Source organism: Homo sapiens, chromosome 3, assembly GCF_000001405.40.
Source record: "Homo sapiens chromosome 3, GRCh38.p14 Primary Assembly".
Classification (NCBI taxonomy): Eukaryota; Metazoa; Chordata; class Mammalia; order Primates; family Hominidae; genus Homo; species Homo sapiens.
Window position 1 is genome coordinate 177,079,441 of NC_000003.12, and position 23,950 is coordinate 177,103,390.

The 23,950-nt window shown below is 36.8% G+C and overlaps 1 protein-coding gene across 18 annotated transcripts in view; it reads right to left on the reverse strand.

Annotated features, from left to right (window-relative positions):
* The window catches only part of TBL1XR1 (TBL1X/Y related 1), a 182,457-nt gene that overhangs the window by 60,097 nt on the left and 98,410 nt on the right, over positions 1-23,950 (reverse strand). For 8 of the 18 annotated variants that reach the window (XM_047448940.1, NM_001374330.1, NM_024665.7 and 5 more), the window contains one exon: positions 19,026-19,101. The exons of 3 other annotated variants lie outside the window; for them this stretch is intronic. Coding sequence is in view for 3 of the 15 variants with exons in the window: in XM_047448941.1 (XP_047304897.1) it covers positions 19,026-19,101 (76 nt within the window). In the remaining 12 variants the exon portion in view is untranslated. Of the gene's footprint in view, positions 1-386; positions 506-940; positions 982-7,524; positions 7,598-11,710; positions 11,741-19,025; positions 19,108-23,950 lie in introns of those variants that run through there. 7 more of the 18 variants (XM_047448944.1, NM_001321194.3, NM_001374328.1 and 4 more) reach the window with 7 other exon arrangements.

The following is a 23,950-nucleotide window of genomic DNA, read 5'->3' on the forward strand; positions in this document are numbered from 1 at the left end:
AAAAAAAATTTGTATCTAGTATTATAGCTGCTTAGATCTTATCCACACTCTTGGACTTATTTGTAATTTTTTTAATCTAAATGTAACACTCTACAAATAATTCCTGTTATAAATTTTAATCGACTGTTGCTACAGTGCGTGATAAAGTGGCAGTCATCATTGGTAAGAAATCCTCTGAAAGTTTAACTCTTAAAAATAATAGTCAAACGTCAAGAAGAGGTAGCAGTAAAATAAAAAAGTGTCACAAGTAATTGGGTCTATATAATCAATTAAAATAAATATGGGTAGAAAAGGAAAATAAGAGTTAGACAAGAATGAGGACTAGTAACTAATGAGGGTAGCAAATCACTTTATGTGTTCATTTAAAAAAAAAAAAAAAAGCTCACCCTGTATGTGATGTTGCTGAGTTCCATAAAGACAAATATCAGGCCGCATGATGTAATAGAAAGAGTCCTGGACTGAGTCAGGAGACCTCTGTTCTAGTCCAAGGCCTCAGTTTCCTCATCTGTAAAATGAGGGTACTGAATTAGATAATCTGAAAGGGCTCCTCTAGCTTTAACACTGAGTGATCCTAAAGATGAATTTAGGAAGAATCAATCAAATGTAAGATTTCTGTTAACAGTAAGGTTTAACTGTTAACACTGGAAACAGCAGTAGGGAACAAGGTTGAAAATAATTTTCATAAGGACATAATTATGTCCTCAATAAAAAGGACATACACAAAATTTTAAATTGCAAAAAGCAATTGCTTTCTAACTTTTAACTGCTAGAAAGGTTTTTAGAATATATCAGCCTTAGTAACATTATCAGGCTTTATCATTAACATCTAAGCTGAATTAGTAATGAGTAACCCAAATTATGGCCCGAAAAGACCTATTCACCTTTGGCCAGACTGCCCAAGTAAATCTAGAAAATAGTACACCTTTGGGCTAGTACTTACTTTAAGTGATAAAGTGCCCATAACTGCCCCTGATGAAATAACTGAACAAAGAATAAAATGACAAGAAAAATGATTAGAGTAAATTAAACTATTTAAATTTAACATGCAATAAAACAATAAGTATGCTTGTGATATCCTTCTGTGTTAATGAGCATATTTTCCCTACTCATAATACTTTTTTCTGGTTCTCTCAAAATAGAAATCTGGCTTCTCCTTCTGACAATAAAGCTAACTGAAAGAAAAAATATATATTTTTTTTCAGTGACACACAGAAACATTTTTTTAAAAGAGTGTCTCCATGTTTAAGTTTTCTATACTGAAAGAAATCAAACATCTATCAGTAACAATAGGTCCTGGTACCTCAAAAACTGTGGTTTTCTAACTAAATTACCTAAATACAATTAACTGCCTGGTTCTAGCAAATCCTCCAGGGTCTGACAAACTTAACAACTAGCTTTAAGTTCAAAGATCAGCTGATGTTCTACTTTATATTTATTTGTTCCTTTATACTTCATTGCTTATGTTGATGCTAAGGTTCTTACCTGGCAGACTTAACACTTCAAGGATATGAGAACCAGTAAACGTATCTCTACAATCAAGAAAATCTTAGAAATCAACTTTTAAAGGATGTAAAGATATGATGAAACATTCATATGGAAAAAGCTTGTTTTTAAAAGTTTTTCTTAAATGCAAATTACCTAAAGTGATTATAAAATAACTTGACACACATGCAAGTCCACTACTTAGTCATTTGAACATTTCACCTTGGCAATACATAGTATCTCCTAATACGACATTCAGAATCATTAATAAGATTTCTCTCTTGTTCTTGGCCAGTCTTAAGATGGATGTAATATCAATGTGTCTCTGTGATAGAAATCTTTGAAACAAAACTTTCATTTACATGAAATTTATTTTTCATTTTGATTCTGGTATTATGATGGCAAATAACAGAAATCACATGGATATACAGATAACTCTTTAGGGTTCTATTTTGATCATGAGCTGTTTTCAGCAATTTTATCCATCTATCTTACCTTGTCCATCATTTTTTTCAGAGACTTAAACATTCAGATATTTAATAACAGGTGGGTTGTGGTGGCTCACACCTTTAATACCAGCACTCTGGGAGGCTGAGAGAGAAGAATCATTTGAGCCCAGGAGTTCTACACCAGCCTGGGCAACATAACAAGACCTAATCTCTACAAAGAGTTTTAAATATTAGTGCATGCCTGTAGTCCTAACTACTCAGGAGGGTGGGGTGGGAGGACCACTTGAAACCAGGAGGTCTCTGAGGCTGCAGTATGCCGTGACTGCGCTGCATGCACTCCAGCCTGACTAGATAAGGCAAGACCCTGACTTCAAAAAAAAAAAAAAAAAGATATTTAATAATGAAAATACAACTACTAATTATAAGATACAATTAATAGTATTGTCTTTAGTCAGTATAATTACAGTATTGTATATATAATATACAATATAAAATTTAAGTCTAACTGAACTATTGTTTCTGTTTGGGTAAAATATTCTCCTCTAGGAAGACACTGGTACTAAAATTAGAAGTTAAGGAGAATTTGATGTTTAAATAACTAGCTGGTACACAGTGTGAAACCCCCTTGATTGTTCACCACTAAATTTCTATCTGGAAGGCATGAACACACACTTGCAATTCTACCATCTCCAAAGTCAGCATACAACACAATTTTCTCTAAGACCAAAATGCCTTTTTTAGGTATCAGTAATATAGAATTCTTACAACAAAATGGCTAGAGCTACGCACAACATAGCACTTTTACTTTGAGAAAGTTATAATATATACAAATGGTGATTTAAACAAAAAAATTATTGCAGTATATTTGGAGTGATAAAAAGACAAAAGACCAAAAAAGAAGTCCAAATTTTTGGTTGCTAGAAAAATATCAAACCCTTATAACATCAAGTAATTTCATGTTATGTTCTAAAATGAATTTAAAATTGAGGTACTTCAAAAAAAAATACCAGAGAGAAAAATGAAATAAATTTAAAAATCTTATATCTTGTAATTACAAATTATATTTTGATACTAATATTTACTTTTCTCTCATCCCCACTCACAATTTAATCTGATACATATATTTAAAAATTGAGCCTATCAGAATAACTATCAGATTAACTTTCCTAACAGCAAATTAAGAGAGGCCAGAAAATGAACTGGTATTTGTAACAGTTATGCGTAACACTAGATGTTACAGCACTGAATTTTAATACAACTATACTTGTCTCTCAAAACTTTATGAAAGAACCATAAAATCCTGTCACAGTGGCTTTTTAATCCAACAACTCCCTAACAGACTATTACTAAATTTCTAAGATAGAGATTATATATATATATATATATATATATATATGAATATGAGACGGAGTCTTGCTGTGTTGCCCAGGCTGACGGGCAGTGGCACCATCTGGGCTCACTGCAAGCTCCACCTCCCAGGTTCACGCCATTCTCCTGCCTCAGCCTCTGGAGTAGCTGGGACTACAGGCGACCACCACCACATCTGGCTAATTTTTTCTGTATCTTTTAGTAGAGACGTGGTTTCAACGTGTTAGCCAGGATGGTCTCGATCTCCTGACCTCGTGATCCATCCGTCTCGGCCTCCAAAGAGATATTTTAAAATAAATTCTAATCAATCCAATCTCGCTAATAATTCCACAATAAAAATCATACAGCATTTTTTTTTGAAAAATAAATACAACACACTGAAAAAAGTGTCCTAAGCCATAATCCATAAATGACTATTGGTCAATTAAGAGAGTGGAAACAAACTCTTAATAATTTCCTCCCATAGCATTTTCAAAAACCTGTTCGAAATTACCAATTCCATGAATTCCATCTCCCATTAATCATACTTGAATCTGAGCACAGTCTAATTATGTATCCATCCCCTCCAAATGTCTGTATTAGAAATGACCTTAGTCTTTGCTACATCATTTTGAAACGATCAAGTTAGTATGTATGTTTTGTCTTCTTGCTTTTATTTATTCATATTTCTCTATCTTTCTGCATCATAAGCAGGTCACAGCTTAATGCACAGGCAGAAAAATGTTACCGATAAGCTCTTTAAACTATTTTCAAATTTAAAGAAATCAATTTTGATGAATGCCATAAAAAAACAACATATTAACAGGAATCTGACTTCGAGAAATATCATTCACTGGTCTCTATTTTATCTTAACATTTTACTATGAAAATTTTCAAACATATAGAAAAAAAATGAATATCCACATAGCTACCACCTACAATTTAAAATTAACATTTCCTCATATTTGTTGTTAATACATCTATTCAAAGAACTTGCAGTCATCAGTATACTTCTGTAAATACTGCAACTTGCCCATCAAGTAATGGTTTTTTTTTGTTTTTGTTTTTGTTTTTTTAAAGGAAAAACTTGGCCAAGCATGGTGGCTCACGCCTGTAATCCCAGCACTCTGGGAAGCTGAGGCGGGTGGATCACGAGGTCAGGAGTTCGAGATCAGCCTGGCCAACATGATGAAACCCCATCTCTACTAAAAATACAAAAATTAGCTGGGCGTGGTGGCGGGCACCTGTAATCCCGGCTACTTGGGAGGCTGAGGCAGGAGAATCATTTGAACCCAGGAGGCGGAGGCTGCAGTGAGCCCAGATTGCCCCACTGCACTCCAGCCTGGGAGACAGGGCGAGACTCCGTCTCAAAAAAAAAAAAAAAGAAAAAAGAAAAGAAAAGAAAAAACTTACACAAAATACAACGGACATATACTGGCTATATCATTCAGTAAGTTTTAACAAACGTATGTACCTGAGTAACGTAAATCCCTAACAGAATACAGAACATTGCCAATGCCTTAGAAAGCTGCCATATGCACTTCCCCACTTAATCCCTGTCCTCACCACTCATTCCTACCACCTACCAACCTCTTCTTCTTTCCCTTTCATAACTTCGTTTTGGCTGTCCCACCCCACATGCACAATAGATGAGGTCTGTCTGGTTTTAGGATATATGTAGAATCACATATGATGGCTTGTTTTGTGAAGACTAATTCAGTCAGCATAATGTTTCAGAGATTAATCCAAGTTGCTGCAGACATCGATGCCTTGGTTCCTTCCTATTGCTTAGGAGTATTCCATTGTACACATACAGCAACTTGATAATCCTTTTTCTTGGTTTATAGATACTTGAACTGTTACCAGTTTGGGGGTCAACCCCATATTTTAGGAGAGTTTATAAACCACATTTGGTACTCCACCTCTATGGGTATCTTCTTCCTGGATTTCCTCCTTTCCTGTGCTGGACCCCATTACTCTGCAGTGCAATGTTAGTTCTGAACAATTCTCTAATTCCTCTGCCAACGGGAACCTGTCCTCAGGCAAAGATCCGTCAATAACAGGAAACTCCAATGCCATTCTCTTAAGAATCCAATCCGGTCTGACTTCTGAAACAGGTTTGTTCTATGGTGTCCTCATAATGTTTGTTTTTCATATGTTGTCCAGAAATTGTAGTTACTATTTGTGGGAGGATTTGTTCCATAGCAGCCACTACTCCATTTGTGGAATTATAACTCTCTACTATTCTTCTGAGCACACTTGTTCAACACTGTAATTGGCCTACTTTTTTGGTGTTCCCCCCAACTTTCACCAGCTAGATTGAGCCAGTTTCTTTCAATCAAAAAATCGAAACTAAATCAGAAAAAACGAGGCCTCCAGGAACTGAAAAGCATAAGAATAAATCCCTAAGAGAGAGCTGAAGTGGATCCTGCAATTCTTCCTATGAACCAACACAAGTTCCAAATTCATCCCAAGATGTGCATGTGGAACATACCCAAAGAAGCACTACAAAGGTCTTGAGAACTGAAGACACAAATCACCTTCAGGTTCCATACTAACTCCTGAGAGGCTCAATCAGGAAGCAGACTCATAGTAGCTTAGCAAAGACTTTGAAAACTGAACTGACATTGGAACCACTGCCCATGGGTGCCACAGAACTTGGGAGTCTGAGCCTATCAATGTTAATTGCTTGCTTTCATTTAAAAACAACATTCTCCAGGAATGGTACAGATGAAGAAAATCTGATCATTCTCAAAGGAAAAGACAATAACAGATATTAATCCTGAGATGATCCAGGTGTCAGAATTCTCAAAGATGCCCATGAAGGGACAGGAAACACAAGTTCTCAGAAGTAGACACGATAAAAAAAAGTTTTCAAATGAAAACTTTATGACTGAAAAAATATGGGAAAAAATTCTAAGACAATAGGATGTATAGGAAAATGATAGCAAACACTATGATCTTCCTGAATAAGAGATTACATATAGATGACAATAAAATTCTGTTTTAATAAAAGAAAATTTTCCCAAAATAACAAATATCTTTAGCTCTCAAAAGTAATGAAAAAATCTAGAGACCTGTCATCAAGGTGCTTTCAATCCTATTATTCTATGGGTGCCTGAGGTCCACCAAAAACTCTCACGATTCACCTCTACACAATCTGTGTTACACAAAATTTAAAAGAATGCTGGAGTGCAAATGAGATAATGGTTCAATTCTTGGTTCTGTAACTATGACAAAGTATATGATATGGAATCACTTCTCTAAACATTAGTTCTTCATTTGTAAAATGAGAACTAAACAAGAGAACTTACTTAGCTTTGTAACACAGTCCCAATATCTAATTTTAGGAACCCTCAGAAAGTCATTCCAGTCTCCCCAGATATTAGCACTAGCCAAGTCCACACACGTAAGTTTTAAATTATCTAGTAGCCACATGAAAAAGTTAAAAAGAAACAGGCAGAATTTATTCTAATAATAATATTTTATGTAACCCAATGTATCTGGAATATTATTTCTTATAATCAATAGTTTAAAATTGAGATATTTTACTTTAAAAAATTAAGTCTTCAAAATCCAGCATGCATTTTACATTTACAGCACATCTCAATTCTGACTAGTCTTATGTCCAAGTGTTCAACAGCTACGTATTTCTAGTGGTTACCATACTGGGTAAGTCTAAATACAGACATGAAACGGTGGGGGAGGGGAGCCAATAGAAAAGAAGGGCCAAGGTGTCTCAATATGGGTAGTCTGTCTTACATACATACATACACAAGCTGTATGTTCAGGGGGTAATGAAAGTGTCTGCTCTGTTACATGACATGGGGTTGGAGCAACGGAAGTCTCTTTTCTGAAATAAATTTTCATCTCTCTACTATAATTAGAGCCCACAATTTTTTTTTAAGAAAAATAATGGTTTTCTCACCAATGAAACAGATATTAACAACTTTACATGGTTATAACAATATTTAAGTAAGATAACTACTCTCTATCACGGAACATATACAGTTGACCCTTGTACAAAGCAGGAGTTAGGGTTTTATCAACCCACCCAATCAAAAATCCACATATAACTTCCGACTTCCCAAAAACCTAACTACTAACAACCTAGTTATGACCAGAAGTCTTACTAGTAACATAAACACACACACCTTACATGTTGTAGCTATTAGATGTTGTATTCTTACAATAAAAGAAGCTAGAGAAAAGGTTATTTAAAAAATCATATGGAAAATATATTTACCATTCATTAAATGGAAGTGAATCATCCTGAAGGTCCTCATCCTCTTCACAAGGCTGAGGAGAAGTTGGTTTTGCTGTCTGAGGGGTGGGAGAGGTAGAAGAGGTGGAAGGACAGACAGGCAGAAAGGCAGGCATACTAGATGCAACTGTACTTTTAAAAAAACCAAGTAGAAGTGAACCCACATAGTCCACACCTGTGTTGTTCAAGGGTCAACTATACTAACCCTTCCATTTTGGGGTTGATTTTTACTTACTTTTTTATTTAAAAAAAAAATTAAACTAATCAAAATGGTTTTTGGCATTTTTCTCTTACATGTTTAAAGTACCTCTATGTAATCTGTTCTATAATCATAAGCCCTTAGGCTCTAAGTCACTTTTTTAAAAAATATCAGGTTGTAATAAACTCAAAATGATCCCAATAAACATCTGACAGGAAATGAAGGCCTAACATATAGAGGGTTGTGAATTAAGAACTTTAGCATTCCAACCTTTTTGTTTTAAAAACTCTCCTTACAGGTGCTAGTAAATCATAGAAAAAGAGAGAAAATAGGCATGGTGAAGGATTTCTGTTTCTATGAACCAGGAATAAATCAAAAGATATAACTAAAATTAACTGGCTTAAGAAAAAGGACAGAAGTTGAAGAAGCAAACAAACAGAACCTGTATGAAACTAGAAGTTCCTGTCCTTTACACACTAACTTTAGCATGTTAATTTCTGTCTCAAGCAAAATTTTTTTTTTTTAAATCATGCAATCTTATCCACTGGACGGATGGATGAATGAAAGGAAAAAAGAATGGGGGGCGGGGAGTCTTCAAATGGCTTCAATACACCATTGAAGTAAGAAATGGCCTTCAGTTTCCAATTTTATGGCTATATGGGACCATGCTGTCCAACCCCAAATAGTCAAAATCTAGTAAGACCAAATTTAATATAGTACACCCAAAGAAAATTAGGAAAACTTAAAAATAAGCCAGATAATATTCAGTGATAGGACACCTTTTGTTTTAACATTACCGTGTTAAACATCTATCCCTCTATTGTGGGTATATGTCCTTGCTCTCACACTACTCTGTGTTTCTCGAGGTAAGACAGCTAGTATTTTATTCCTGAATAGTGCCTACACTGAGAATTTATAGAAAGGACAGCAAAATTATTTGAAACATGAAAAATGTTTTAAAATGAAAATAGTAATTCACCATAACAAGTTCTATCACAGTTAATATAAATTGAGCACCCCAATCTAAAAATTCAAAATCCAGAATGTTCCAAAATCTGCAGTTTTTGGAGCAGTGACATAACGCCATGAGCAGAAGATTCCACACTTGATCTCATATGACAAGTCACAGTCAAAACTCTGGTTCATGCACAAAATTATTTAAAATACTGTATAAAACTGCCCTCAGGCTATATATATATAAGGAGTATATGAAACATAAATGAACTTCGTGTTTAGACTTGGATCCTATCCCCAAGATATCTCATTATAGATATGCAAATATTCCGAAATCCAAGTAAATATGAAATCTGAAATACTCTGGTCCTAAGTATTTTGGATAACCAATGCTCAACCTGTGTAAAGATTAAATCCATGTAAGAAGCCAAGCTTTCTCTGCCTTTCACGTGATACTACAGTCTTTCACAGCTTCCATTTTAGGCTCAGTTATTTCAGCCTCTAATGACAAAGATACAAGGAATCAGTTAAATATAACTCCAATTTGTGTGTGCTCTGCTTTTCTTCATTTGTTTAAAAAAAAAAAAAAGAAAAGAAAAGCCTAGAGACTAAGAGGTGTTCAATGTAACCCTCTTACTGTTGATTTGGGAATCAGCTCTCCAGAGGCATACATTCTCAACCAAATGAAAATGGTTCACACAATATCATGCGACAATGTCCTTCTTTCTTCACATTTAATAATACCAGTTCCTAATCATGATGGTAAAAGATTAAAAATGAAAGTAACAATGAACTTTCCTACAGTAAATAGAACAAATTAATTTATGGATGCTACATTTATAAGTAGGTAATAATCATTGACTCCTCGCTATGTACCACACTCTTTCTCGGCAGCGACCTGTTGGCAGGGTCACAACTCCTTGGGGTCTTGTCTTCAGTCTGGCAAGTCATAACTTCTTTCAGTTTTTTAAGAATAATCAAGTTCTGAGAGAAGATATGTTAACAAAATACAGCAGGGTGGTTTATGAGTAAAAGAGGTGATTTACTAATTACACTGAGAAATGTACCTGTCAGTAGACCAGAATATTCATCAATGCAGAAGAGGCCAGCAGGGCCCAGCCCACATTCCCTCATCACTCAACTTTCCCAAGCAGCTGGGTAGCTTTTTACTGCAAAGCACCCTGAGGCCAAACAGCAGGTCAGGAGCTGCTGCCCTGCCCTCCGCAAAGCCTAACTGCCTAACTCCCAGACTAAGGAATGGGGGTTAGTGGACAAATTACCCGAGGTTCCTTGCCCCTTAGGTGGAAAAAGAGACATGTTCTACACTGTTCCCGAGGATGCCACATGATTTGAGTCCAACTGAACAAAAAAATTAGTCTTTCAGGCAGTCGGTATCAGCCTCCTTTTCCCTTTCTGGCTTCTCCACAGGAACTTTCTAGATCCACCTCTCCAATAAAGGGTTATAATCAAGGGTCTGGTTCCTCAAGAATCAAACCTAAGAGAACTGCTCAGCATCATTCTATTCTTTGTGGAAGAGTCCTGTTGTTAAACCAAATTAATTTTTAGAAGTTGTGGGATGACTATACAAACAGAACAAGAGGAAATAGAAGGGCTCAGGGGATTGATCGACACAGTTGGTAGACTTTTCTGGAAAATAAGAATCTATCTGTGGAACAGTTCAAAGAAAAAGATATGCAAACAGTTCTAAAATAAACTAGCAAACAGTTATAAAATAAATGAAAAGATGCAAATTAGAACCATAGTGAAATACTATTTCTCACCTATCAGATTAAAAGACATATATGTATCAAAAAAGACATCATATATACTGTCTGCTAATGGGGAAAGAGGGAACCTCGTATATTGCTGAAAGGAACATAAGATGGCATAATGCTTTACAGAAGGAAATCTGGCAAATTGACATGCACATTTCATGCTCCTATCTAAAAACTTCCACTCTTGAAACAGCTATCTGTGTAATGGAGTAGAATGCAGCTGTAAAACAATGAATAAAGACTATCTCTATGTCCTGCTATGAAGTGATCTCCAGAATATTTAAGAATACCCATGGATTTGTTTACATTTGAGCAAGATAAACCAAAAATAGTTTGATTTTTAAAACTTGGTTACTTACAAAAGGAGGAAGTAAGAATGTATCTCACTTTGAAGTGATATAAATGTTTCCTATGATTATAAAACAAAATAAAAACAAATATTTTTAAATTCTAAATACTAAAAATAAAATGAAACAAATTGGCCTGGACCCAGCATAGTGGCTCAGGCCTGTAATCCCAGCACTTTGGCAGGCTGAGGCCAGGAGGAGTGCTTGAGCCCAGGAGTTCAAGACCAGCCTGGTCAACACAGGGAGACACTGTCTCTACTAAAAAAAAAAAAAAAAAAAAATCAGCTGGGTGCAGTGGCTCACATCCGTAATCAAGACACTTTGGGAGGCTGAGGCAGGTGGATCACGAGGTCAGGAGACAGAGACCATCCTGGACAACATGGTCTCTCTTAAAAATGCAAAAATTAGCTGGGCATGGTGGCACGCACCTGTAGTTCCAGTTGCCCAGGAGGCCAAGGCAAGAGAATCACTTGAAGAATTGAGGCGGAGGTTGCAGTGAGCCAAGATCACGCCACTGCACTCCAGCTGGGCGACAGAGCGAGACTCCGTCTCGAAATAAAATAAAATAGAAGTTAAAACAATTAGCCAGGCATGGTGGCATGCACCTGTGGTCCCAGCTACTTTGGGAGGCTGAGGTGGGAGAATCGATTGAGCCCAGAAGGTCGGGGCTGCAGTGAATCATGATCAGGCCACTGCAATCCTACCTGGGTGACTGAGTGACACCCTGCTGAAAAGAAGAAAAGAAAGAAAAAGAAAAGAGGGAGAGGGGAAGGGAAGAAGAAAAGGGAAATGGGAGCAGGAATTGGGGAGATAGGGGAGGGGAGGGACAAGCTGACCCAACTATATATCAAATTGGAGGTGGGCAGGGGGGCAGATTACACATGAGGACTTACTTTAAAACGTAATACTTAGCTGTAATCCCACTGAGACGTGGACAAAAAGAGAAAAATGAAAACAACAGTCACTACTCATACTGGTTAAATATACATTTATAAATATAAAAATACGTATAATTTTATATTATGTTTATTTTCTACATTTACATGTACTTAAAGTACTTATAAAGTACATGTACTTTATATGTCATTTATACTCTACTTTTGTTTAATACATTATTTTCTATTATGTTTACATATTAACTATTGCATATTATATAACATAAATATATAAATATTCTTTTTCACTAAAAGGAATCAGGACTTTAGAGACATAGCTGATCTGAGGACCAATGAAGGACATGTACAAGATGAGCTTTGGCCAACATGTTGTTTTGTCAGAAAGCAAGGAAGCTACCAGAGAGACAATACTAGAGTCATGTCAGAAAAGACTCAGAAGTCAACTTGAAAAGGCTCTTTTGGCCAAGGGAATGACATCAATAAGAATACAAACTACAGTCAATAAAACATATCAAATGCCTAAATCCACACGCTCACAATAACTCAAAAAAATCCTCACTTGTTACCTAGAAAGGTATTCAAGAATACTAGAAAGGCTTCCAGGAAACAACTCAGTACTTTGAAAACTGGTAAATAAAAGAAAGAATCATGCATTTCATATGCCTTTCCTGTGCAATCTGTGCCACAAAGTAACGAAATATCTGTTGGGGAAAGTTTCTCTTTATAGAAATGTTACACATAATAAAAGCTTGATATAATTGAATATGAACATTCTCATTGCCCTCATGGAAATAATGGTTCTAGGAATGATCATCAATGTCGCCTACTGTCAGGAATAAAAAACAAACATTGGGTGCTTCCTTATGCAAGCATACAGTAAGTGTCCTTTATCTAAAACGATTGGGACTACAAGTGTTTCAGATTTTGAAATATCTGCAGTATAACGGTTTAGCGCTCCCATTGTGAAAATGTGAAATCCAAAATGCTCCAATGAGTATTTCCTTTGAGTGTCGTGTTAGTGCTCAAAAAATTTCAGATGTTGGAGCATTTCAGATTAGAGGTATTCCATCTATACTTAGCACCACCTGTGAAATATTCTGCCACCCCAACCTCCCAAAATAATAAAGGAAAAAACCTAAATTAAGATTAGATTAATCTTAATTCATTAGATGAAGCCTTTAGCTATAACCACCAATTTACAGAAAATATAAGGAAAAGATGAACATTATACTACAGGAATCCAATTAATAAAATACAGAATGTAGAAAACTTCACAGGACAAATAAAAGGGAAAAAATAGGTAGAAGCATAACTATACACAGTAACCAAACATAATGTATAAGTTTTGTTGATTCTGTAAAAACATATTAGGAGCAGTTCAGAAAAATTGAAGCTAAGTAGATAGTTGGTAGTGTAAAGAAATTATTGTCAGCACCTCACATCCATTAAGATGGGCACTAGCAAACAAACAGCAAATGTTGTCCAGTGTGTAGAACCCTGTTGCACTATTGGTAGAAATGTAAAATAGTGCTGCTGCTCTGGAAAGAGTACAGAAGTTTTTCAAGGAAAAAAAAAAACCTAGAATTACCATATGATCCAGCAATCCCTCTTCTGAGATCCCAAAAAGAATTCCAGTTCTAAAAAGAGTTGAAATCAAGATGTCAAAGAGATTTGCACATCCATGTTCAAAGCAGGACTATTCATAACAGCCAAGAGGTGGAAGCAACCCAAATGTCTACCAACAGATGAATGGATAAAGAATATGTGGTATGACTTCTATTCAACATAGTACTTACTGGAAGTCCTAGCCAGAGCAATCAGACAAGAAAAGACATCAAGGGCATCCAAATCGGTAAAGAGGAAGGCAAACTGTTGCTGTTTGCTGATAATATAATTGTATACCTAGAAAACCCTAAAAACTCCTCCAAAAAGTTCCTAGAAGTGATAAATGAATTCAGCGAAGTTTCCAGATACAAAATTAATTTACACAAATCTAACTCTTCTATACATCAACAGCAACCAAGTGGAGAATCAAACCAAGAACTCAAACCCTTTTACAGCTATTGTAGTAGCTGCAAAAATAAAATAAAATACTTAGGAATATACCTAACCAAGGAGATGAAAGACCTCTACAAGGAAAACTACAAAACACTGCTGAAAGAAATCATAGATGACACAAACAAATGGAAACACATCCTGTGTTCATGGATGGGTAGAATCAATATTGTGAAAATGACCACACTGCCAAAAGCAATCTACAAATTCAGTGCAATTCCCATCAAAATACTACATCATTCTTCACAGAAGTACAAAAAACAGTCCTAAATTTCTATGGTATCAAAGAAGAGCCCACATAGCCAAAGCAAGACTAAGCCAAAAGAACCAATCTGGAGTCATCACATTACCTGATCTCAAACTATACTATAAGGCCATAGTCACCAAAACAGCATGATACTGGTATAAAAATAGGCACATAGGCCAATGGAACAGAACAGAGAACCCAGAAATAAAGCCAAATATTTACAGCCAACTGATCTTCGACAAAGCTAACAAAAACATAAAGTGGGGATAGAACACCCTATTCAACAAATGGTGCTGGGAGAATTGGCAAGCCATATGTAGAAGAAGGAAACTGTATCCTCATCTCTCACCTTATACAAAAATCAACTCAAGATGGATCAAAGAGTTGAATCTAACACCTGAAACCATAAGAATTCCAGAAGATAACATTGGGAAAACCCTTCTAGACACTAGCTTGGGCAACGACTTCATGACCAAGAACCCCAAAGCAAATGCAACAAAAACAAAGATAAATTAAGATGGGACTTAATTATTAACTAAAAAGCTTCTTCATAGCAAAAGGAACAATCAGCAGAGTAAACAGACAACCCACAGAGTGAGAGAAAATCTCCACTATCTATACATCCAACAAAGGACTAATATTCACAATCTACAAGGAACTCAAACAAAGCAGCAAGAAAAAAACAAATAATCCTATAAAAAAGTGGGCTAAGGACATGAATAGACAATTCTCAAAAGATATACAAATGACCAACAAACATGAAAAAAATACTCAGTATCACTAAAAATAAGAGAAATGCAAATCAAAACCACAATGTGATGCCACCTTACTCCTGCAAGAATGGCTGTAATCAAAAAATGAAAAAATAATAGATGTTGGTGTGGATGTGGTGAAAAGGGAACACTTACACTGCTGGTGGGAATGTAAACTAGTACAACCATTATGGAAATCAATGTGGAGATTCCTTAAAGAACTAACAGTAGAACTACCATTTGATCCAGTAATCCCACTACTGGGTATCTACCCAGAGAAAAAGAAGTCATTATATGAAACAGATCCTTGTACACGCATGTTTATAGCAGCACAATTTGCAACTGCAAAACTATGGAACCAGCCCATCAGTCAACAAGTGGATAAAGAAATTGTGGTATGTGTATATACACCATGGAATACTATTCAGTCACAAAAAGGAATGGATAATGGCATTCATAGCACCCTGGATGGAATGAGAGACCATTATTCTAAGTGAAGTAACTCAGGAATGGAAAACCATAACGTTGCATGTTCTCACTCATAAGTGAGAGCGAAGCTATGAGGAGGATGCAATAGCATAAGAATATACAATGGACCTTGTGGACTAGGGGGAAAGGGTGGGGGATGGAGAGGGATGAAAGACTACACACTGGGTACAGTGTACACTGCACAGGTGATGAGTGCACCAAAATCTCAGAAATCACCACTAAAGAACTTATCCATGTAAGCAACCACCACCTATTCCCCCAAAAACCGACTGAAATAAAAAAAGAATAAAAAAATAAAGAAAATGCGTTATATACATACAATGGAATCTCATTCTGCCTTAAAAAAAAAACAAGGAAATAATGTCACAGGCTACAATACAGATGAATCATCACGAGATTATGTTAAAAAGCAGCCAATCTCAAAAAGACAAATAGTATATGGTGCTACCTATATGAGGTATCTAGCAAACTCAGAAACAGAAATAAAAGGTTGTTGCCAGAGGACGGGCTAGGGGGAGAGGGGGGTGTTGGGAACTCGCAGGCGGGTAGGAGAGGGCGGGTGCTGTTTAATGGGTATACGGTTTTGGTTTTGTAGTGAGCCCAGATCACACCACTGCACTTCAGCCTGGGCAACAGGGTAGATTGTCTCAAAAAATAATAAATAAAAAGTCAAAATAATAATATACACCTGCTGGCCAATGGGTCCTACTAATGCAATATGAGATAATTACAAAAAAGTATTTATGAAACATTTTATACAGGAAAGCAGCTATAAATCATGATTAAAGGTGCAATTAGATTTTTTTTTTTTTTGAGATGGTGTCTCACTTGTCACCCAGACTGGAGTGCAGTGGCTTACTGCAACCTCTGCCTCCCAGGTTCAAGGGATTCTCTTGCCTCAGCCTCCCAAGTAGCTGAGATTACAGGTGTGCGCCACCACGCCTGGCTAATTTTTGTATTTTTAGTAGAGATGGGGTTTCACCATGTTGGCCAGGCTGGTCTCGAATTCCTGATCTCACAAGTGATCCGCCTGCCTCGGCCTCCCCAAAGTGCTGGGATTATAGGCATGAGGCACTGCACCCTGCCGTAAAGTGCAATTAGATTTAAAATTACTTGTGTCTAGGTAAAAGAAGAGTGAAGGCAAAAAAGGATGTTATGAATCCCTCATATTATTTTAACAAGAACAATGTTCAGTAAGGGGAAGAAAAATGTTTGAGGAGATGGATATCCCACTTATCCTAACTTGATCATTTTATATTTATACAAGTATCAAAATATCACATGTACCCTAAAATAAGTACAACTACTATATACCAACCTTTTAAATTTTAAGAGAAAAAAACACTGTTGAGGGTAGGTAGGGAGGTAGTAGAGGTAACTGTATATAATCCCACTAAGCACTCTGGCATTTTCAGAGAAAATAAATATGACATACTACACAGCACAGGTTCAACCCAGATTATTATTGCATTTCTGAGGGTCATGGGAAAACCATACCATTTTGAACCAATACCTACAAATTTACTAGCACATCTGTGCAAATATATAGAAATGGCTTCAGTGTCCTTAGCTAGACTGTAAGCAAGTTTGCTGTAATCTTGGTCTCCTTCATCTCTAACACACACTAACATACATACATACACACACACACACACACTTAAATTTCTGTGATCATGACATTAAAATGATTTCAGAGATTTTCAACAAAACTGACAAACATGTTTGGGATGATCTAATTTAAAATATAGTCTATGAGCGGTTATAAAAACAGTCTATATGAGTAACACATAAAAATTTTTCACTTAAGGATAGGCATTTGTAAGAGATAGGTAGCTTCATGACACCTGTATCTCAGATACCCAACTGGTTTGACTGCCAAGGGAGACGTGCCACAAATACTAAGGATCCGACAACAAAGAAGAGTAACAGGTTTCAAATGTGAACTTCATTTGAACAAAAACTTCATGTGAACAAAAAGCCAAGAGCAGATACTCCAAATACCAAAGTTGATTTACCATGAATCTGTTTCTTTCATGAGAAACTCTAGTACTCCCTGGGAAACAGCAGATCTAGTGGTTAATGAGTTGCCAGAGCAATCTAAAGACCCCAGCAAGTGCTTTATAAATTAACAAAAACCATGCCATCCTTTGTGCTAGGTAAAGCTTGGCTTGGGGGGTGGGGACATCTTATTTTCTTCAACATCTCCTATCAACCCGAGAGAGAAAAGAGAAAGGAGAGAGGAGGAGAGGAAAGGGAAGAGGGTGAGCAGGATGCAGAGGAGGAGAACAGGAAAAGGAGGAGGTCAACCTTTTTTCCCCAATAGGAATTCAGAAGAGTTTAAACAGAGAAAATCCTCCTATCAACATACTGAAAAAAATCCATCTCTAATAGGAATTATTTCTGGGAATATTTTCACAAATATCTTAACCACTTATTCTGGTTCTTAACTTTTAATAGTTTTTCTTTCAGACTGATACATCATTTCCCACCAAATTCTATAAACCTCAATCAGTTTTTATGCCTCCCTAATTTAGTAAAACTAAAATTGTTGGTAATGAACTACAGAAAATATTTATAAATGTAAGATGTTATTATTTGATTCTTTAAAAAAGTAAAAATTCATTTATCTTCTATTTATTTATCCCCAAAATACACAACAATATTATTTCGGTAAGAAATTTTTTTTAAGAGAGAATCACTCTGACTTCCAGTTAACAATGATAAGCACTTGACATACAGCTAGAATAAACCTTAGAAAGTCCAATTCCATCACCTAAGTTTTATAAGAGTACTGCCAAAAGTCAAAGATTCATAGTATATTCAGGAAATAAAGCAAATGCCAGCTCCCACAGAGTCCACTAGTCTTTCTGCTATATCACATGATTGCCATTTATATTCTACAGTGAAAGGCTTCTTAAAAATCTTTTTAAGTAGATAAGAATGACTCTCCTTAAAATGATTAATTATAACAGGTAGAATCCTAGCCATTTAAATGCACATAACTAAAAAATATTAGGATAAATGCAATACACAAAAACAATCTATTTCAGTGAAATTATGGACAAAAATAGAAGAGCAAAATGCCACTGTTGCATTTTTAACAAGAAAATACTATTCACAAAATTTAGTTCATTTGACAAAACACAAGACCATCACGATATAACAATATTTTTCATCCTGATGACCGTAGCTAAGACGTTTTTAAAACTACAGAACACAGAAATCCTCAGCTGGATGCGGTGGCTCACACCTGTAATCCCAGCACTTTGGGAAGCTCAGGTGGGCGGATCACCTGCGGTCAGGGGTTCGAGACCAGCCTGGCCAACATGGTGAAATCCTGTCTCTTACTAAAAATACAAAAAATTAGCTGGGCGTGGTGGCGCATGCCTGTAATCCCAGCTACCTGGGTGGCTGAGGCAGGACAATCGCTTTAACCTGGGAGGCGGAGGAGGTTGCAGTGAGCGGAGATCACGCCATTGCACTCCAGCCTGGCCAACAAGAACGAAACTCCGTCTCAAAAAAACATAAAAAGAAAAGAAAATAGAAATTTTCAAAAGTAGCAATTTTTCCTTTACAAAATATTCAAAAGTTATTTTTAAATACTTTAAACTACATATATTTAAAAAGAATAAAAAATTTAAAAAAAAAACACTTACTTAGCTTGGGAACACATGTATTTTGTCAAATTGTGAGAAACTTTCAAAATTCTCAAAAGATTCTAAAAACAAGAGAATAAGAAACACTGACATTGGGAGTTGGAGAGTCTTACCATTGGCAGTGCATTGATGTGGGGATGTGCAACTGAATATCCGGTCACCGCCAATCACAAGTTGCTGTTGTTGATGCTGAGGAAAAGGAAAGTAAAGTATTCAATGTGCCCTAAAACAAATTCAGTTTAAAAGATTTTCCATACCAAATGTTACATGTTTGAAATATTCTTTAAGGTCCCCACCAGTGAATTTCTTTCTCCCCCAAGTAATTGTTATCATAAACAACAGCAGCAACTTTTGAGTGCTTAATACTTGGCAAGTCTTTAGAACGTTCATAAGAGGTTGGCACAGTGAACAAAATGAGACTCAAAGAGATTCATCTGCACACAAGTGGTCTCACCACCAGGCAACTCAACTCATGTAAATATTATTGCATTACGGTCCAATTAGTATGTTCATAATCTATAATCATGGGCCACCAAGAATGGCATAAACTTGCATTCTATATTGTTTAATAATAAAGAGAAATATATCATTGGTTTAGAAACAATTTCAATCAAAACTTATTAACTCTGTTCTCTTTAAACTTTATAGGGCTTATCCAGTTTTCTCAATTGCTAAGTCAGGGCACCTTATATTCCACAAACCGTTTGTGTAAATATAAAAGTTAAACTTTGCAGCCAGGCGCGGTGGCTCACGCCTGTAATCCCAGCACTTTGGGAGGCCGAAGCAGGCGGATCACCTGAGGTCAGGAATTCGAGATCAGCCTGGCCAACATGGAGACACCCTGTCTCTACTAAAAATACAAAAATCAGCTGGGCGTGGTGGCGGGCACCTGTAATCCCAGCTACTTGGGAGGCTGAGGCAAGAGAATCCCTTGAACCCAGGAGGCAGAGGTTGCAGTGAGCCGAGACCGCACCACTGCACTCCAGCCTGGGGTACAACAGCGAGACTTTGTCTCAACAACAACAACAACAAAAAAGTTATACTTCACATACCATGTCAGAGGAGACTCTTAGTTGGAACACTGACCAGTACAGTTTCCACCACGGAGTACAGTTTTCTAAAGAGTAAAATCAAGCTGACACCACAGAAAGGAGTTTACTACTATATATGGGAGGTTTAGCTCCTACACCAATTAGGTGAAGTAAGAAGATAACTAAGTAAATGATGATTATGCCACATACACTATCCCACCAATCCCTGGTGCTTCAAAACAGGGCGTGGGCGTGAGCCCCCAAGGTTTGTTGCCTAGAGGCACTTATGAGCTACTCGGTAGGTCCTTTCTAGCACAGACTGAGGAAATGTTCTTTACACATCATGACTAGATACCACTAGGCTCTGTTTACCTCAAGGTCATTTGTTATGAATGTCAATTATTTCAGTATAAAGTTTTTGTCACTTTTTGAGCTAAAGTTATATAGGGCTACTTGTTATCTAAAAATCAATGGAGCATTTTTGTCACAAAACTTTTTGGCATACATGCATTCAATTTATTTATAAATAATTAACATGTACTACTAAATAATGTGTATTTTAAAACACATACAAGAAGTCAGGCACAGAGACTCATGCCTGTAATCCCAGCACTTCGGGAAGCCGAGGCGGGCCGCTTGAGCTCAGGAGTTCGAGACCAGCCTGGGCAGCATGGTGAAATCCCATCACTACCAAATATACAAAAAATCAGCCAGGCATGGTGGCGCATGGCTGTGGTCCTAGCTACTCGGGAGCCTGGGGCACGAGGGTCACTTGAGCCTGGGAGGCAGAGGTTGCAGTGAGCTGAGATGGCCATGCCACTGCATTTCAGTCTGTGTGATAGAGACTCTGTCTCAAACAAACAAGAAAAACTCCCAACATAAGTAAAAGATAGATAAATTATTTATTTACAGTGCTATAATATTTTTGTTCATAACATTCTACATTCTTAATGTCTTAATGATAGTTTTACATCATTAACTAGTATCTAAAGGTACAACTTAATTGTAGAGCAAAGCTCATCAACACCAACAGTGAATAATGTACTTTTTTTTTTTTTGAGACGGAGTCTCACTCTGTCACCCAGGCTGAAGTGCCATGGCACAATCTCAGCTCACTGCAACCTCCACCTCCTGAGTTCAAGTGGTTCTCCTGGTCTCAGCCTCCTGAGTAGCTGGCACTACAGGTACAAGCCACCACGCCTGGCCAATTTTGGTATTTTTAGTAGAGACGGGGTTTCACTATGTTGGCCAGACTGGTCTCGAACTCCTGACCTCAAGTGATCCACACGTCTCCAACTCCCAAAGTGCTGGGATTACAGGGGTGAGCCACTGTGCTGGGCCAAATAATCTACATTTCAAACATCTTTCTTGATAATCCCTAATTTTTTTCAGACATCTATAAAATGATTAGATAATAGCAAGTGAAGAGTTCGTTCTTGTAGTTTAAGTATTGGCTCTGCTATTTTCTTTTTCTTTGGTTTTTTTTTTCTTTGAGACGGAGTCTCGCTGTTGCCCAGGCTGGAGTGCAATGGCGCGACCTCAGCTCACCACAACCTCCACCTCCCAGGCTCAAGTGATTCTCCTGCCTCAGCCTCCCGAGTAACTGGGACTACCGGCACGCGCCACTACACCTGGCTAATTCTGTATTTTTTAGTAGAGACGGGGGTCTCTCCATGTTGGTCAGGCTGGTCCCGAACTCCCAACCTCGGGTGATCTGCCCGCCTCAGCCTCCCAAACTGCTGGGATTACAGGCGTGAGCCACCATGCCCAGCCATGACAATCGCTATTTTTTTTTCAGACATTTGTTAAATGATTAGATCATAGCAAGTGAAGAGTTCACTCTTGTAGTTTAAGTACTGGCTCCGCCATTGGCTTGTTTCTTAACTATTTTGGTTTTAGATGCAATTTTTTTTTTTTGCAAGATTAAGTCATGAGCCTGTTTTGGTGAGGCTTGGTTAAAACTGGGTAATAAAATCTACAAATCTATGTAATTAAACACAAGTGAATACATGCTGTGTTTTAATTGTGTCCCTCAAATTTCATGTGTTGGAGACTTAATCCCCAAATTCATATGTTGATGACATTTGGAGGTGGGGCCTTTGAGAGGAATTAGTATTAAGATAAAGTCATCAGGGTGTAGCCCCCATGATGGGACTGGCCACTTTATAAGAAGAGCAAAAGGGACCTGAGCTGACTCGCTCTTGCCTTCTTGCCATGTGATGCCCTCCAACATGTTATAAAGCAGTAAGAAGGCCCTTCCCACAGGCGGCCCCTCAAGCCTGGACTTTCTAGCCTCTGGAACTATAAGAAATCAATTTATTTTATTCATAAATTACCCAGTCTATGGTATTCTGTTATAACAACAGAAAATGGACTAAGACAAATAAACTTACAATACTAAGCTGAAATAATAGCAATTCCAGGAAACAGAACGAATGAATGAATGTATCACCGGTGCTTTGCGGAACCTCCACTTTTTCCTCCAAATAGCATTATGTACAATATGTTCTACATGACTCTCTTATACTAGAACCAAATGAGGGTACAAATTTGAACCCCTGTATTAACCATTAGAATTTTTTTTTTTACTTTGAAATGAACATAAATAAATGAACATAGAAACTAATAAGATATGGTACACATATAACACACAAACTTACATACATCTACCTTTATAGAATGCTAAATCAGATCATTCTTCCAGTTTCTTTTTCTAACTTTTCGGTCATCAGTGAGTCTCTCATCACCCTCATAGATGTATCTAATCTCAGTTTTCACTAATTACCTTTTCTCTACCTTTGTCTTCATTCATTCATTTAACTTTTCCTATTAATACTACAAGTCGTTAAGGAGAAAGACCACAATAGTGATTTAATAGTTGATGACATGGTTAAAAAGTATTTGATTCTAGGATTTGAAGGGTGAATAAATATGTGAAAAATGGTATACCAACTGCACCTGCAAATTAATCTGGAAAATTTCTAGAAACATACGCAGGACCATATTTTTTTATTTCTTAGATGTTTTCCTAGTCAACTCATTTACCTATGTCCTAGCCATCATGCAATGCATTTATAAAGCACACCACGTAATTAAAATAAACATCTGAATTTTAAAAGATATAGTGATATACTTTACAAAGGAATTACAAAACTTAAGGTGCATTTAAGATAGTCTGACAATGTATATTGAAACTATTGAAACTATTTGTATTAAAGGAATTCAAGTCCAAAACATGTGTGTCCCGTCTATCTGCATTTCTACTTTTACTCAACATTCTCTACTCTCACCACAGCAGATCACTGTGTGCAGTGTTATCTGCACTCTTTGGCTGCCCTGACATTCCTCATTCCTTACCAGAAATGTCCTTCTGACTACGGTTCTGCTCACAAATCTTCCTATCCCTCCTCCAAAGATCAGGCCCAATCAGCTTCCTCCATTAATTATCCACCCCACCATCCAGAGAGAGAAATGAGCCCCAGCTTAACATATCTCCCTTTCCACAACCGCATAGTGCCTTATTCTTCTATCATACCTCTCTGATCAAATTTCTAGAGACCCAGGACTGATTTAATCATCTTGCTGTTCCCTAACAGAACTAAGAATAATGCCTTGAACATACATGATTCTTAAGATATATATGCTGATAAAATGTTAGTGTCTAGATATAGAGAAATAGATATAAACATATTTGAAAATAAAATGCAGTAGACACTGAATTACTGAACAAATAAATCACACTGGGAAGGAAAAACTCACCAGTGGATTGTTACTTTGAAAATGCTTGAGAGAACCTGGTTATATACCAGTAACTTTAACACCACTTCCAGAAGGTGACCAATAAAGGTGGATCTTCCATCATTAACAAGAAACTCAAGAAGTACATGATCAATCACATTATTAGTGTAAAAACTATCACCTCCTTTGTGTACTACATAAACTAAATATATTTACTTCTTGTAATAAAATAAATGGCTGTAAGGTTTGTGTTTTGTCTCCAAACAAAA